At 46.2% G+C, this 16,372-nt stretch overlaps 1 protein-coding gene across 4 annotated transcripts in view, besides 4 other annotated features; it reads right to left on the bottom strand.

The window, feature by feature from the left end:
* The window catches only part of CYB5A (cytochrome b5 type A), a 41,118-nt gene that overhangs the window by 24,319 nt on the left and 427 nt on the right, over window positions 1-16,372 (bottom strand). The window lies entirely within an intron of this gene.
* Window positions 820-989: an enhancer, noted in NCBI's record as "experimental_50279 CRE fragment used in MPRA reporter constructs". NCBI's record gives its function as "activates a minimal promoter by MPRAs in K562 erythroleukemia cells, with activity observed for both the introgressed and non-introgressed 18:71943304 variant alleles {active_cell/tissue: K562}" and the evidence as "EXISTENCE:reporter gene assay evidence [ECO:0000049][PMID:34662402]".
* Window positions 5,915-6,442: an enhancer, noted in NCBI's record as "OCT4-NANOG-H3K27ac-H3K4me1 hESC enhancer chr18:71948314-71948841 (GRCh37/hg19 assembly coordinates)". NCBI's record gives its function as "activates a minimal SCP1, AML or CMV promoter by ChIP-STARR-seq in naive H9 embryonic stem cells {active_cell/tissue: H9 hESC(naive)}" and the evidence as "EXISTENCE:reporter gene assay evidence [ECO:0000049][PMID:30033119]".
* Window positions 10,721-10,890: an enhancer, noted in NCBI's record as "experimental_50293 CRE fragment used in MPRA reporter constructs". NCBI's record gives its function as "activates a minimal promoter by MPRAs in K562 erythroleukemia cells, with activity observed for both the introgressed and non-introgressed 18:71953205 variant alleles {active_cell/tissue: K562}" and the evidence as "EXISTENCE:reporter gene assay evidence [ECO:0000049][PMID:34662402]".
* Window positions 15,378-15,985: an enhancer, noted in NCBI's record as "H3K4me1 hESC enhancer chr18:71957777-71958384 (GRCh37/hg19 assembly coordinates)". NCBI's record gives its function as "activates a minimal SCP1, AML or CMV promoter by ChIP-STARR-seq in primed H9 embryonic stem cells {active_cell/tissue: H9 hESC(primed)}" and the evidence as "EXISTENCE:reporter gene assay evidence [ECO:0000049][PMID:30033119]".

Raw genomic sequence — 16,372 nt, forward strand, 5'->3', positions numbered from 1 at the left:
GGGGACGGGGGTGGAATTGTTCATTGCTCCAATGTCTGTTTCTCCTTTCCTCCCTAATACTTAAAACTCTGAGCTGGGAATGGCCAACAAAGAAAGATGTTACAGATACTTCCCAGCCTCCTTGCAGCTACATATCTCATGTGGTTAAACTCTGGCTCATGGAATGGAAGAATCTTCCAGAAGTCTTCCTTCTGGAGTGGTGGATCCTCTGTGCCCTGTCTTCCTTCATCCTGCTGCCTGGAGTTGAGATACCGCCTCCGAGCACCAGGATGAGGCTGTCCCCAGGACAGGCCGAGAAGGGAGCGGGATGCAGTTATCACACAGCTCTGGTGGCAAAGATCACTTCTTTAGGGCAAATAAACTCCTGTCCCGCTTAAGCCAGTTATTAGAGGATCTCCTGAGCCTAATCCTAATTACTACATCAATCATTTAGTCAAGAAAAGTGACCTGTGTAAACATGCAGAAGCATCTGAAACTCACGAATACACAGTCCGAGCCTCGAGAAGCTTCCTACCAATCAGGGTTTGACATGCAGCAAGCAACAAGAGGAACATGAAGGGGCATCCGAATTGTTGCCTGAACACAGCAGAGTCTGGAAAAGCGGGAGCTATTAAAAAATAACCTCAGCCCCTTTAGAATAGTTAGGATGTGGATCAATAGAGCAGATAAATAAAGATGAAGAAGCTGAAAAGGAGAGGCTTGAAGAACATGCTGGAGGAGCCGTCGCCACACAGTAGGGTGGCCAGGGAGGACCCGGCGGTGCGCAGACCAGATACCCCAACACCAGCGCGGCACCGGGATCTGACCCAGCCCAGAGGCGTCTCCAACCCCATTTCTCCCCCTCGACCCAACACAAGCTCCAGCCTTAATACTTAACTCCCTCAGCTTCCTGCACAGCCCACTATCCTCCACCTCCTCTGTGAGCCTGGCATCAAAACCAGGCAACTGACCTGGAGATCTTGACTCCAAACGGTAGGGTGAAGGTGAAAAATCCCAGAGGCTTAGAGGTGCAAAGGACCTTCAGAGACTCAACATCCTAAATTTTCAGACAGAGAAAATGGGACGCAGAGGAATGAAGCCCAGTGCCACACTGATAGCTCACGAGGGAGGTGGGACGGGAACCCTGCTTTCTGACTTTGAGAGTTCAGTTCCCCCCACCTTTTTTTCTGAACATGCAAATAAAGTGACCATTTTTACATTTCTGAACAAAGTATCTTTAAATATAAAAAGATGTCTTAAAAATAAAGTTTCTTCATAAATTTCCCTTTTGAGAATTTGGGAGAAAACTTCACAGACTTCTAAACCTCAAGAAATTTTGTCATCTGCCCTGCCTTTCTGGGTCTTACGAAGTACAAAAGATTCAGCACACACACACACACACACACACACACACACACACCCTTCTGTCAGGGTTCCACTTGACTACAAGGTTGTCACTATTAAACAGTCAAAAGCGTATGCAAAACGACACTACAATATGACAATCTGCAGCAGGTCAAAGTCATGCCTTCGGAGGGTTTGCTTAACCAAGCAAAAATGAACCGAACCCAGGGGAATGAACGCAGGCCGCCTGACTCCACACCAGGTCTCCTAACCACTGTATGTACTAAGAGGAGAGCCACTTTAACAGGCGTCTAAGTCGAGATGATTCCCGTGTCCCTCAGGCACAGTCTGTTTGGCAGCTACCCATCTGCAGGATTAAGTCATATAATTAATTAGTAGACTCCTTGGCAAGTAAGAGAAGTTCGAGAAAGACAACCATAACAAAAAACCCTTTTCACCTAAATGCAATGCTAAGTGACTGAAGTCCATCCATTCTGGAGTTTTAAACAGGATCTTTCATTCCAAATGCTTAACATACCAAAAAAGGTGGAGTACAGAGATTGTCCATAAACAACAAGTAGGCAAAAACAACCTTTAATTTAAAGAGCTTATCTGCAATAGTTAAGCCCAAAATGAAAACAATTCAAAAGAGTTTGGAGAATGAACAATTGATGCAAGATTTAGAATAAGATAACAAGATGCCCTGACCAAACATTTCCTATCATTTCTGGATGCTGTTTTTCTAAGACGGGAAAGGGTGATGGCCTCAAAGTTGGTTTGAGTTCATCAGACTTCTGTCCTGCTCCATTCTGGACTCTGTGGAGGGGCCAGCATCTGCATGGGGCACCAACTCGGGGCTTCATATCCACCCTCTCACTGTATCCCCATAAGCCTTGATGGAATTACTTCCCATTTCACCTAGAAGGTCATGGCATGAAACTAAAGAGGCCCCTCTGGCAGTCACCCAGCTTGCCTATGGGACCCACAAACTCATTCAAACATCTGATGAATGCCAAGCCATGCTCTGTTGCTACCAAAATGGCAAAGTCATGGCCCCACCCTCAAGAAGTTAGAGTCTAGTAAGGAAACTGACATGTAAACAGATAGCTAAATGTGGCGAGCATCAGGTGCAGGAGTCATGGCACAAAAGATGGAGGGATTAACTCTCCCAGGAGTGTGAGGCAGAGAAAAGGCCCAGGAGGGGTCACTCAGGAGGCAACGCTTAGACTCTGTGTGAACATTTCAGCAGGAGCTCGCCAGGTGAGCAAGGGGAGGCATCCCAAGCCCGGGACACAGACACATAGAGGCCCTGAGGCAGAACACAACGGTGTCATGGAGGATACAGGGGTAACTTTATATGGCTCAGGTGAGGGCTTGGGTCTCCAGTGAGAAATTAACCCAGAAAGCCCAGACTGGAAGAGAGCACCTGGAGTTTCTGCCGAAGATCTCTGCATTTCACAGCCTGAACAAATGCCTTCAATTTCTCTCCTTTCCACTCTAGCAGCCAGGGAAAAAGTCTAGGGACAAATAATGATGAATATCAGTGGGTAACATCTAATAAATGCTCACTGTGTATAGGGAAGTATTCTGAGCACTTGTGTGGACCCTTCTAAAGCTCATAAGCCCAAGAGGCAGGCATTACCATTACTATCCCCACTTTACAGACAGAGGTGACGGAGCCAGTTAGGGGAGGCCCTGGGGAATGAACGCAGGCCGCCTGACTCCACGCCAAGTCTCCTGACCACTGTGTGTACTGAGAGGAGAGCCACTTCGCTGAGATCTGCTAACAGGGGTCTAAGTCCAGATGATTCCTGAGTCCCTCAGGCACAGTCTATCTGGCAGCTACCCATCTGCAGGATTAAGTGAATTAATTAGCAGACTCCGTGGCAAGTAAGAGATGTTCGAGAAAGATCAGTTCACTTTTCCTTCTTCCTCATCCCCATTTTATATTGCCACAGAGACTATGTATAGTCCCTGGCACAGTTCCTGGCCTTTGTAAATTGCTGAAGGCCAATTCCAGCACCAAACCCAAGGGACCCCCTTCTCACCACCTCTCCTTCATCTTCAAAAGTTATCTCTGGATTTAATCAACTGGCTGGATTCTCCTGAATCACAGAACCAAATGGCACACATTCACAGAAACATCCTATGATAAAAATAATAGACATTTCTACATGAGATGGTTCTTAAAGGTTAGTTAGGCCAAGGGCAGACAGGTCTTATGCACAGCCTGTGAGCTGGCAATCATCCTGCAGAATGCTGTTAGAATTTCCTCTTCTTGAAAAAGAGAAACAAAATTCTTCTTAATTACTTTTAGAACTGAATTAGTAAATGTTTGGTCTAAAACGTACTGGTAACCAAATTTTGGTCACTATGCCCTGACCAGTATTTCAACTTCTACCATTACTACACTTGTCTCATTGGATAAAATAAAGCAGGTGTGCTAATTCTTCCTCTAATCTCTGAAGAGTACATAAGCCACCAATTCTGACATGATGACCTTGGGGTACAGGGAAGGACCAGGGACAGGCCTGCTTCTGAGGGACAAGAGCAGGAGGGCACTGTGGCACCAGTCCTGCCAGGCCCAGAGCTGCCACAGCTTACCTCCTGCTTTGTAACCCAATGCAACCCGATGTCCTCAGAGGAATATGCAAGCCACCAAAACTGGGGGCCCAGTGGTAGATGAGTGATGACCTAAGAGAGGCTGTTACTCTAACTACGATCTATCTTAAGCTGGAATGGCCAAAAGATGAGACAAGGCCGGGCGCGGTGGCTCACGCCTATAACCCCAGCACTCTGGGAGGCCAAGGCAGGCGGATCACCTGAGGTCAGGAGTTTGAGATCAGCCTGGCCAACAAGGCAAAACTCTGTCTCTACTAAAAAATACAAAAATTAGCCAGGCATGGTGTCAGCCACCTGTAATCCCAGCTACTCAGGAAGCTGAGGCAGGGAGAACTGCTTGAACCCGGGAGGCAGAAGTTGCAGTGAGTTGAGATCGTGCCACTGCACTCCAGCCTGGGCGACAGAGTGAGACTCCGTCTCAAAAATAAATAAATAATAAATAAAAATAAATAAAAAACAAAAGAGATAATAGAATAGCCTACGCTCAGCCCAGAGGTGGAAAGAAAGCAGGATTGACAGTGGCATGTGCCCATCTCTCTCTTTTGTTTTTTTTCCTCTCAATGCCAAATAACTAGGCCTCTCTTTCATGTTTAATCATAATAAACTGGGTTGAAATATGCAGGTGAGACAAAGGAGAAATAAAATAAGGTATCAGAAAATTATTCAATGTCACCCAGCAGCCATTCCACATCAGCTTTCTAGTATTTTATATTTATAAACTTTTAATTCTTATTCAATCAATAAATAACTATTTAGTCCTTTCTATGTGCCAGCATTGTTCTAAAAACTGGATTTATCAGTGAATAAAAGAGAAAAAGTCCTGCATTCACAGAGCATACATTTCTAGTGGAAGGACACAGAGAAGCAAAAACTAATAAATGAGTACATTATACCGTATGTTACAAGGTAATACATGCTACAGGGAAAAACTCAGCAGCATAACTGGGCTCAGCAGTGCAGGGGGCTGGGGTAATATCCAGGCTTAAATACGGTGGTCAGGTGATAGTGTTGAGGTGATAGTGAGTGAGTACTCAAAGGAGGTGAGGCAGGGAACCATATGTTATTTGGGGGGAATAACCTTCCAGTGCAAAGAATTGAAAATGGATCACATTTCTACTACATCTAAGAATTCTTTGCCTAATCCTAAGTCACCTTAAAAAGTTTCACATGTCGGCCAGGTGCAGTGGCTCATGCCTGTAATCCTGGCACTTTGGGAGGCCAAGGCAGGTAGACCACTTGAGCCTCAGAAGTTTGAGACCAGCTGGCAGCTGGGCAACACGGCAAAACCCTGTCTCTACAAAAAAAAAAAAAAAGGGAAATTAGCCAGGCATGGTGGTGCACACCTGTAGTCCTCGCTACTTGGGAGGCTGAGGTTGGAGAATCACCTGAGTCCAGGTGGTGGAGGCTGCAGTGAACCGTGATCATGCCATTGCACTCCAGCCTGAGTGACAGAGTAAGACCCTGTCTCAAAAAAAAAAAAAAAAAGTTTTACATTTTATATTTAGATCTATGATCCATTCTGAGTTAATTGGCATAAGGTGTGAGGTTTCAGTCAAGGTTTATGTTTTTGGTTATTGATGTCCAGTTGTTCCAGAATTATGTGCTGAAAAGGCTATCCTTCCTCTATCGACTTGCTTTTCCATCTCTGTCAACAATGAGGTGGAAATCTTTGTGCGAGTCTATCTCTGGCCTCTCTATTCTGCTACATGGACATACGTATGTGTCCCTCTGCCAGAACTACACTTTCCTGACAACTGCAGCCATATCCTAAGTCTTAAAATGGGGCAGTGTAATCAGCCCTTGAAGGGTTTAAACAGAGTATACGGACTGACCCCATCTGACTTTAAAATGTCACTCTATTATGGTGAGAATATGCTGTCGGGGGCAGGAGGGGACCACGCGAGAGAAGATGGAGGCTCCAACCAGGGGAGCAGCAGTAGACATGGTAAAAAATTGGTGAGATTCTGACATTATGAAAGTTAGGCCCACAGAATGTCCTGGTGGACTGGATGTGGGTATGAGAGCAAGAGAAGAGAGGAGCACAACCCCCAGGCTTTTGGCCTGAGCAGCTGGGAGAATGGAACTGCCATCTGCTGAGATGGGGACATGCAGAGGGAGCAGGTGTGTTTCCCACGTTAGGGTGAGAAGCCTACTGGACATCTAACTGTGATGTAGCCTCAGGGATACAAGAGCCAGTTCAGGACAGAGGTCTTTCTGGCCAGGATGTGACAATCCAGGATTCATTAGCACATTAAAGCCATGCTACTGTGTGAGCCTGCCAAAGCGGAAAAGCCCAGGCCCCAGGGGGGCCCTCCAATAAGGAGGTCGGACAGAAGAGAAGTGGGAAAAGGAGACAGGAGGTGGAGGGAGGAGGGAACCAGGAGAGGATGGCAACCCAGGAGGGTGAGCATCTATGTCAGAGTCTGCTGAGCCACTGTGTTGGAGAACTGAGAGCTGACACAAGGCACCCTGGGAGACCTTGGCAAGAGAAGCTGTGGTGAACAGGTGTGGTTTAAAAGGGAATGGAGGAGGTGGATTGGAGACCAGGCTTAACAACCCTTTCAGAGGCTTCTACTATTCAGGGGAGCAGAAAAATGAGGAAATCCTGGAGGGGGCAGAAGAGTCAAGGGAGGCTGTGTGTGTGTGTGTGTGTGTGTGTATGTGTGTGTTTCAGGGGAGAAGGGAATATGTGTGTTTTTGCAGGAGAGGAGGGTGTGTGTGTGTGTGTGTGTGTTTTGCAGGAAAGGAGAAAACAGCAGGAACACTGATGAGAATAACCCAGCAGGGTGTGGCCTGGAGGGGCCTGGTTTATACTGGGGAACATCGGGTGGCTTAGGGAATGTCTGTGAGTGGGAAGGGGAACAGGATCTCAGGCACAGGTGGAGGCCCGGGCTCTGGGCAGGAAGAGACTGGAAAATGCAGACCAAAGTGCTCCCCTCACCTTTAATTCTCCTCTTCCCTTCTACTGACTGCCTGGGAGCCTCCCTCGATGCCATTCTTGTGTTCCATGCTCTGAGACTATGTCACAATCCAGACTTTCACAATACAGTCCCACTAGTTTCTAACTGTGCAATCCTCAGGGACAAAATCCCAGGCCAAGGCCTACAGAGTAAGAAGAGATCACACTAGCATGTGCCGTGTGTGGAAAAAGGGGGTAAAATAAGATAGTCACAGAGCAGGGACTTGTGTCTGTTTCTCCACCAGGCTCTCCTCTTCCATCCTGGGAAGTTACTTTCTGGCACCGGACAAGGGCCACAGAGTAAGAAGGGATCACACTAGTATGCACTGTGTATGGAAAAAGGGGGAAAAAAATAAGATAGTCACAGAGCAGGGGCTCGTATCTGTTCCTCCACCAGGCTCTCCTCTTCCATCCCCGGAAGAGTGACTTCCTGGCACCGGACATGGGCCAGGTGCACAGCAGGCGGGCAGGCAGGAGCCCTCATCGCGTGGAAAAAGCAGCATATCACAGCCGGGAGGGTCTAACTGCTAGCAGAGGCACAAAACGGGATGGGACACCATGCTGAGACCTGAACAGGGCCAAGCCTGACACAGGGGAAACCAGGGCAAAGGTTTCAAGGTAAAAACAAGTTTGGCTTGTTTGAGAAACAAAGAGAAAGGGTCAATGTGATCAGGTGTGGGCATTAGCAGGGAGGACACAGTGTTATTTGCTGAGGTGGGGGAGGTAGGTAAGGACCAGATCATTCAGAGCTTTCCAAACCAGGGCAAAGAGATACAATTTTATTCTAAATGCAACAGGAAGCCATTGAAAGGAACTGAACAGAAAAAGGACAATCTGTTTCCAAAAGATCAAGTTTTTTTTGTGTGCTTCTCCTAGAAATCACACTTTTCAATGCCATAAATAGCATTTATTACTCAAGCTGAAAACTCATAAAACCACCACCCATTTGATGGAACCAATGAAATCCTGAGAACTGACTGCCCAGTGGCCACCATGAGAGGTGGCAAAGATACAAGAGAGGCCACACCAGGGCATCTGCTCTCAGCTTGGAGGAGAAAGATATTCTAACCACCCTGCAACCAACCTCGTGGCACATGCAGAGGGGATATGGACCCGGAAGGGGAGGGCGAGAGATGAGCGGGACCCACTGAGGGATTTATCAGAGCAGGAACCTCCTCGGATTTCCATTTAAACAATCCTTCCCAGGGCAGTCATTTAAGATGCCTTTCACCAAACAACACATGCCTCCTCACACATACCCACTACACGTGCAAACAATCTCTTTCCGAACCAAAACCACACCGATGATTCAGCCCCTGCCAGGTGAGAGCAGCATCTGGGTCACAAACAAACTGAGGCCGTGAAGACTCCACCCCGACTCCCTCTATTTAAAAATTCCTCTACAAGAAACAGGAATGGCTGTTTCCTTCACCTCCTAGAAGGCAACATAGTAAACTGACAACAGATGGAAAGAAAGGCATATTTTTGTCCATTAACTTTCCAAGGGTTTTGGCTTTGTTCAGATATTTGCATCACAAATTCCCTTTGCTTTCTCCCTGGTTCCTCCAGAGAACTCTCCAGTGATCAAGGTCTCCAGCAAATGACAGCAACTCTGTATCAGTGGGATGCACTTTTGCTTTTAAAGCTACGCTAGGTTCTCATCAATACTCCTTGGATCTCAAGCCTCAGCAACAGACTCAGCACTGAAGACACTGGGTCGCAGCGCCCGCAGCCTGGACTGAAGCCCTGGCTTTGCTCCTTATCGTCTGTGGGACTTGCTGAGCAAGCTGCAAAATCTCCCTAAGACATACCGTCTTACCTTTAAAAGGGAGGACACAATCACCACTGACCCCATAGGGTTGTTTTGAAGATTAAAAGCACAGGCCGGGCGCAGTGGCTCACACCTGTAATCTTAGCACTTTGGGAGGCCGAGGCGAGTGGATCACTTGAGGTCAGGGGTTTGAGACCAACCTGACCAACATGGTGAAACCTCATCTCTAATGAAAATACAAAATTAGTCAGCCTGGTGGTGCATGCCTGTAATCCCAGCTACTTGGGAGGCTGAGGCAAGAGAATCGCTTGAACTTGGGAGGTGGAAGGTTGCAGTGAGCCGAGATTGCACCATTGCACTCCAGCCTGGGCAACAACAGTGAAACTCCATCTCCAAAAAAAAAAAAAAAAAAAAGAGAGATTAAAAGCACAAACGCAAAGAAGGTTTTATGTGCAAAAAGCACTTGGCACACTCCCTAGCACATACTGAATGTCCATAAACATTCAGCCAACGTCCACTGCTATCACTTTTCTTATTAGCTCACTAGGGATTGTTGGGGAGGGGAGGATTAAAGAATAGCATTTACTTGGGGACGATTAATGAATGGCATTTACTTAATTAACACTTTCTGAGGAAGACGAGGGAAAGAAGTCTGGATATATTTTGTGACCTGGCTAATTCTGGACACAGCTGCACAAAGCTTAATGAATAGGTCTGCCAAGAACAAACAATAGCAGGCAGTGAAAGAAACAAGCTGCAAACTGACACTCCCCAGGCCCTCAACTACAGAAGAGTTCAAGTGATTCCATTTCAGACAGGCTCCCGTGCCCACCAGCCAGGCAGAGAGGACCCTTAACTGAGCCTAGAGGCTGTTAATCACCCCATCCCTTCCCTTAGGTCCACATCCCTTATCCCTCGCCCCCTCCAGAGCCTCCCCAGCGTCAGTGCTGGTTCAGATGCCATCATTTTGGCATGGGCCTGCTAGAGACAGAATTCTACGGATGTAAGAAAGTAACTTCTTGCCATCATCCACAGAGCCGTCAGCTCTAAGCCAACAGGCAGCACAGGCCAGATTCTATTCAACAGCAAGAACGGAGCTGTCCCCACCCAATCTTCAGCTCACCCTCCCGGTCCCCATGTTGGAACTCAGTAAAAGGCACAGATACCCAGTTACTATATACACTCAAGACTATGTTCCCAAGAAAACTAGGTCCAAGGGTAATAGGAAAGGAAGCACACTTGATTAAAATGTTCTGTTTTTCAGAATTAAGGGCAATGAATTTCAACACCCATACTCTGTTCCTCTATCCCCAAGCCTTGGAAAGCACTGGTCTATGCAATGTAGGCAGCCATGTTCAAAGGAAAATAACAAAGAGCAAGTCCCTACAACAAAACCTGCTAGAAAGGACACTCTTGAGACTCCAGAAATGGCTCTGAGCCTGCTACTCAGTTTCCCATGTAGTCAGCTGCTGCCTCCGGTCACTTTTCTGATGCTTTGAGCCTTCAGACAATGAAATTCTTTCATAGAATAGACAAGGTATTACTTGCCACAGCTTCACTTTTAAGAGAATTTATAAGCTAAAGGGGATAAAAAATTATTCCATACATTTCCCTTTTTAACAGAAGTACACAGCCAAATTCAGGAAGGGAGGTGAATGAGGCGCAACCAAGTTCCTCCACTCCTAAGAACCGAGAAATGCACACACTGGTGTGCCACCCCAGGGTGCTCTGGTAACATCCATCAAAATTTAGAGTGGCTCATGCCTGTAATCCCAGCACTCTGGGAGGCCAAAGGGGGCAGATCACTTGAGCCTAGGAGTTCGAGACCAGCCTGGGCAACAAGAGACTACATTTCTACAAAAAATACAAAAATTAGCTGGGCATGGTGGCTCATGCCTGTGGTCCCAGCTATTCCAGAGGGAGGACTGGTTGAGCCCAGGAGGTCAAGGCTGCAGTGAGCTGAGATCACACCACGGCCTGGGCAACACAGCAAGACCCCATCTCAAAAAAAAAAAAAAAAAAAAAAGTAGAAGTGTACATCCTTTCACCCAAGAATCCCACTTACAAAGATCTACCATAAGGAGGTAATTGCAGGTGGGAACCTAAAAACATGGAAGGAAAGAGGATTCCGTATATTAGGATCCCTCTATACAATAAGGAGGCAGCCTGGGAACAGGAGTTACTGAAATTCAGGACTGGTCCCTCAACACCTAGTTTAGTGGGGAAAAAGGGAGATTACAGAGCAGCATGCAGAGCACATTTCCATGGATGTAAAGCACATCCACGAGCAAGGTGTTGTAGTAGTGAGTGTGCAAACTGCTCAAGCTGGCCACCTTCGGGGAGCAGAGCTCCAGGCAGCTTTGAGTTTCTTCTTTGCAGTTTTCCACACTGTCCACTTCCTTAACATGATCATGTATTATTTTCCCCTTACACAATAAAGTTGTATGTTTAAAAGCTCCTGAAATGGGATGATTTCCAATCTTGCAAAGCACACATTCCTGAACAATTATATTTCATGTGAATATTTGTATTTTGAGTCATTTTGTTTACTAGTTAACACTATAATTCCTGAGATATGTTCCTACTAAATGGACCTTCCACATAAAAACAATTTATTTTAAAATTTTAATTCAATCAAAATATAGTCACTTAAATGCCTTCTCTACATATTTTTTCCAGTGTTCTCACATATATCATTTCTCCCAATGCAGATGGCAGTGACAGAATAGTTCCCACTTCAGAACAAGGAAAGTGACTGAAAGAAATACCTGACTTGCCCAAGGTCACCTCCATGATATGTCTAAGACCAGGTCTAGTTTTCCTAACCCCAGCCCAGTGCTTTCCCATGAATGCCCAGCGGGACAGGGTTGTTCAGACTCCACTCAACTACAAAGGCACTTATCAGCCATCTTCACCAGGAGGACTTTTCAGAATACCAGACATTCACATTCAGTAAAATTGTGCATGTTATTTATTCCTTGATTGACCAAAGCCGGCTTGCATGTGTTTTCCCTTCCTTATTTACAATTTTCATCAACCTTTAAGATAATCAAAAAGCAAAAGTTAATTTGCTGTTTCTTTACTGTTTTCTTTACTGTTTCAAAACAAAGTTGCCTCTTGGAACCTCTTTTCAAAAGTAGCAACAGGTTACCAAAAAATATAGAGATATATATAGAAATATACAAAAGCCTCACGGGTTCACATTCCCCAGGTGGCCTTCTAAGATGTGGTTTTACTACCACTTTACCCAAGATGCCTAAGCCACCAACACTACCAACAATAACTTTATATTTCCCTTCTACAGACTCTGTAATTTCTAAGTTTTATTTACCTAACGGTATATATTAAATAATAATAATGTTCCCATTTTACATGCATCAAAGGCATATTTGCCAACTGCAGCCTTTAGTAGCATGAGATTCAGAATACTATCAAATTTTCTTGCAAAAAGCAAAGGCATTTAGTATTTTAGCCCTAAATATGGTAGCTTTAACAAGGGTAAAGATACGTGTTCTATGTTTTTCAAAATTAAGGGCAATGAATTTCAGCACCCATACTCTCTTCCTCGATTCCCAAGCCTTAGAACCACTGGTCTACGCAACATAGGCAGCCATGTTCAATGGAAAATAACAAAGAGCAAGTCCCTACAATAAAACCTGCTAGAAAGGACACTTTTAAGACTCCAAAAATCAAAGTGAGTCAGGAGCCAATAGCTTCTATGAGGCAGAATGCTGTAAAGAACATTTAAGGCTCAGGTCCAAGACTATCAGAATCCCAGGAACACTAGAAAATGTTCTACAGAAGCAAGTTTCCATTTTTATGATGTAAAGGGAGAGGAGACAACTTCACAAAAAGACATTCTGCTTTATAAAATTTTCCAGGACAGTATCTATTTCACGAATCAAACACCCACTGACTTGAACCAAAAGCAACAGCTAATGGAAGTGTTGTTAATTACAGGATACCTTTCTCTCTCCCCTCCACAGCTCTTTTAAAAACTGAATAGATGCTGCTGCCCAAATCACAGAAAGGGAAATGCAAACATTTCTCCCCCTGGTCCTAAATGCCTAAGTTTTCATTTCAAATAACTGTCCCTTAAAGTTCTATGATCAAGCAAAGACTCAATTTCACAAATATAAACTCAAAAACTAGAACTCAGGATTGAAAAAAAAATCTAGTTCAAAATATGTAGGCAATAAAGCTCAAAATCTTTTAAGTATCAGACAGTAACTAAGCACCTGCTGCTATGTCGACTGCCATTAATAATAAGCCAGTCTTCCCTCTTAGGTTTCTACCCCTCCGCCTAAACAACAAAAACAGCTTTAGTGGCCATTATTTCAGGAGGTCGGAGCACATGCTGCACCTGTGAGCTTCAACCTGTGTTCTTGGCTTGTACCTGCCAGCAGAGCAGGATCCCTCCACCATCTCACCACACACCTTCTCAACATGAACACGGACATGCACATAAATCTAGGACATTCTGAAAGAAGGGGAAATACTCAGCCATGAGAAATCCTGTCCATACGGATGGGGGATCTCACAGTAAACAAAGGTCTAGCCCATAATGACTGAAAGTTCATTTGAGAGTTAGAAGGAGAAGATAAATCTTTCCTATTTAGGTAAATTAGGTGAGATAAAATATTTGTTAGTTAACACACAAAGGCTTCATGAAATTCTGGAGCCTTTCAACAATAGAAGACAGGAAAGAGGATCGGGCAAGCGGGGAAGAGAGACAGAGACATTCTGCACTCATTTCTGTTTTAAAAGTACGTTTCAGACAAACAGACTAGCCTCATAACAAACTACCTGGCAGGGCAGTGTGCTGAAGAGCTCTGAGCGAGTGAGCTTATTGGAGATATAACCCCAGGAGCACAGGAAGTCACCTGCAAGGAATCCTGGCTAGAGTCTCAGATAGAACCCAGAGAGAGGCTCCCAGAGGCTTTGCCGGGGGCTGGGAAGCCAATGACCAGGACATGCAATAAGCAAGAGATGGTCACAGAAAGTCAAAGCAAATAATAAAGACGGCAAATGGAAAAACACGTCCATAAGAGGTCGAATCGGGAGGTGCCCAGAGGTCAGACACAATCCAGTGAAAGGCTAAGTGGCCTTGCTTGTTCCCAGAACCACATGTTGGCAGACAGTGGAGGCAGAAACGCATGCAGTTCTCGCAATGCCTGAAGATCCCTCCAACCTCTTAAAGTCAACAGGACCAAAACCAAACTAACTCCTTGTGTTTCTCCCAGACCCCAGCCTCCTCACTCACGCCATCCTCCTAGCCGTTCCAGGGGTCAGCCACCCTCTTGTTCATTTTATTTGAGATGCATTCTCCACAAAAACTTTGAGTAAGAAAAAATAAAGAAATTTGTTTTCAGCTAATTTACCCACTCAAGAGCTTGCTCTCATCTCTCAGTTTTTCTCGGAAAATTTTTTGCACAATCCCTCCTTTCCTGACTCACAGGAATGAAATGTGAAAGTAAATAGTTTTGAGTACATTTTAACAATAATCTTCACTTCCCTATTATCGTCTCTGAAAATCTACCCCTAAAGTCATGCACAGTAACCTTAGTAATTCTCAAGTTGGAGAGATTATGTGCCCTAGGGGACCTCTGGCAATATCTGGAGACATTTTGGGTTGCTATAAATAGGGGAGGTAGGGCTGGGAGCAGTGGCTCACGCCTGTAATCCCAGCACTTTGGGAGGCTAAGGTGGGTGGATCACCTGAGATCAGCAGTTCGAGACCAACTTGGCCAACATGTTGAAACCCTGTCTCTATTAAAAATACAAAAATTAGCTGGGCGTGATGGTGTGCGCCTGTAATCCCAGCTACTTGGGAGGCTGAGGCAGGAGAATTGGTTGAACCCAGGAGGCAGAGGTTGCAGTGAGTCGAGATCACACCATTGCACTCCAGCCTGGGCCACAAGAGCAAAACTCTGTCTCAAAAAAAAAAAAAAAAAAAAATAGGGGAGGTGGTGGTACCGGTCATCTAGTGGGTAGAACTCAGGGAGGTGGCTCAATATCCTACAATGCCCAGGACAGACGCCACAACAAAGATCGGCTGGCCCAAAATGTCAACAGTGCCAGGGTTGAAAAAACTCGCTTTAGGAGAAGACAAGAAAAGAAGAAAATGCTTCATAATATAAAATATCCTAATATTCTCTTATGCTACTTCTTCTATAAGCACAAATAGACAAAGCACACACTGTATCTTAAAATTCCACATTTAGAGTTAATGAGAATTGATGTTATATGACAAGATCTGCAGCCGGGCAGGAGGGAGAGGACAGGTCAGCTCTGATTTCCCAACATAAACCCCTCCTTACTAAATGGTAACATGACTTTATCTTCGGGCACTGCTCCAGAGTGAAATACCTTACCAATAAACATCAACTCCAGCCTTATTATTTAATTTTATTTATTTATTTAGAGACAGAGTCTCACTCTGTCCCCCAGGCTGGAGCAAAGTGGTGCGATTTCGGCTCACTGCAACCTCTGCCTCCCAGGTTTAAGGGATTCTCCTGTCTCAGCCTCCCGAGTAGCTGGGACTACAGGCGTGCCCCGCCAGGCCTGGCTAATTTTGGTATTTTGGTTAGAGATGGGGTTTCGCCATGTTGGTCAAGCTGGTCTCGAACTCCTAGACTCAAGTGATCCACCCGCCTCAGCCTCCCAAAGTGCTGGGATTACATGTGTGAGCCACCGTGCTTGGCCCAGCCTCATTTTTTAAAACAGGCCTTTTGATTTTAACATTTTCTGCAAAAACAAAGTCCTCTGATATAAACTGTGATCCAGCTCAGACCAGGCATCTATTTTTGTCCCCTGCTCCCCGACTATGTAAAAAATTCCCATCACTAAACCTTCTCATTATTGGGAGGGGGCGTGAGCATGCGTTAAGATTTATGATTGAGACTCCCCCAAAAGTAGTAAAACACTTCCAGAGGATCTAAGACAATCACCAAAAGCGCCCCTTAGCGTGTGCGGCAAAAATTATAACCGAATGCAAAGAATCTTATCAAAGGAATGTCTTCAAGTTAACCAACGTTTCCTATTACACCTTCCAAAGCTGTTAGGGGCGAGTCCCACGCAGAACGTCCGCTGCTCTGCCTGGCCTCTGTGTTCTTGCTCCAGCCACACACCGCGGTCTCAGGAGTCAAGCACGGCACCTGGCTGCCAAGGCGTGACTGGAAAAGGTTAATTAACACCGAGCCTCTTCCAGGTGAACGCGAACGCGAGTGGGTGTGGACCGCAAGGTCGGCCAGTGGCTGCCGCGGGAAGCGCAGGCCCGGACCACACCCGACCTCCGCACTTGGGGTCCCCTCCGGCGGGATCCGCAGCTCTCGGGGTGGGTGGTCTCCAGCCGGCCACTGCGGGAATGCCGCCGGTCCTGGAAGGACACCCTTCTATTCAAACTCAAGGGAGAAAGGGATCATTTAAATCCCCCGCATGGCTGCGCGCTATCCCCGGAAGGCTGCTCCAGCACCACCTAGCGAGGATGCCGCCGCGCAGGGCGCTCCCAGGTGTGCACGCGCAGGTGTACGGATTCGGGGAGCGCTCCCAGGTGTACACGCGCAGGTGTGCGGACTCAGGGAGCGCTCCCCAGGTGTGCACGCGCAGGTGTGCGGACTCGAGGAGAGCGCCCAGGTGTACACTAGCAGGTGTGCGGACTCGGGGAGCGCTCCCAGGTGTGAGCGCGCAGGTGTGCG

The sequence above is a fragment of the Homo sapiens genome, chromosome 18 (assembly GCF_000001405.40).
Source record: "Homo sapiens chromosome 18, GRCh38.p14 Primary Assembly".
Classification (NCBI taxonomy): domain Eukaryota; kingdom Metazoa; phylum Chordata; class Mammalia; order Primates; family Hominidae; genus Homo; species Homo sapiens.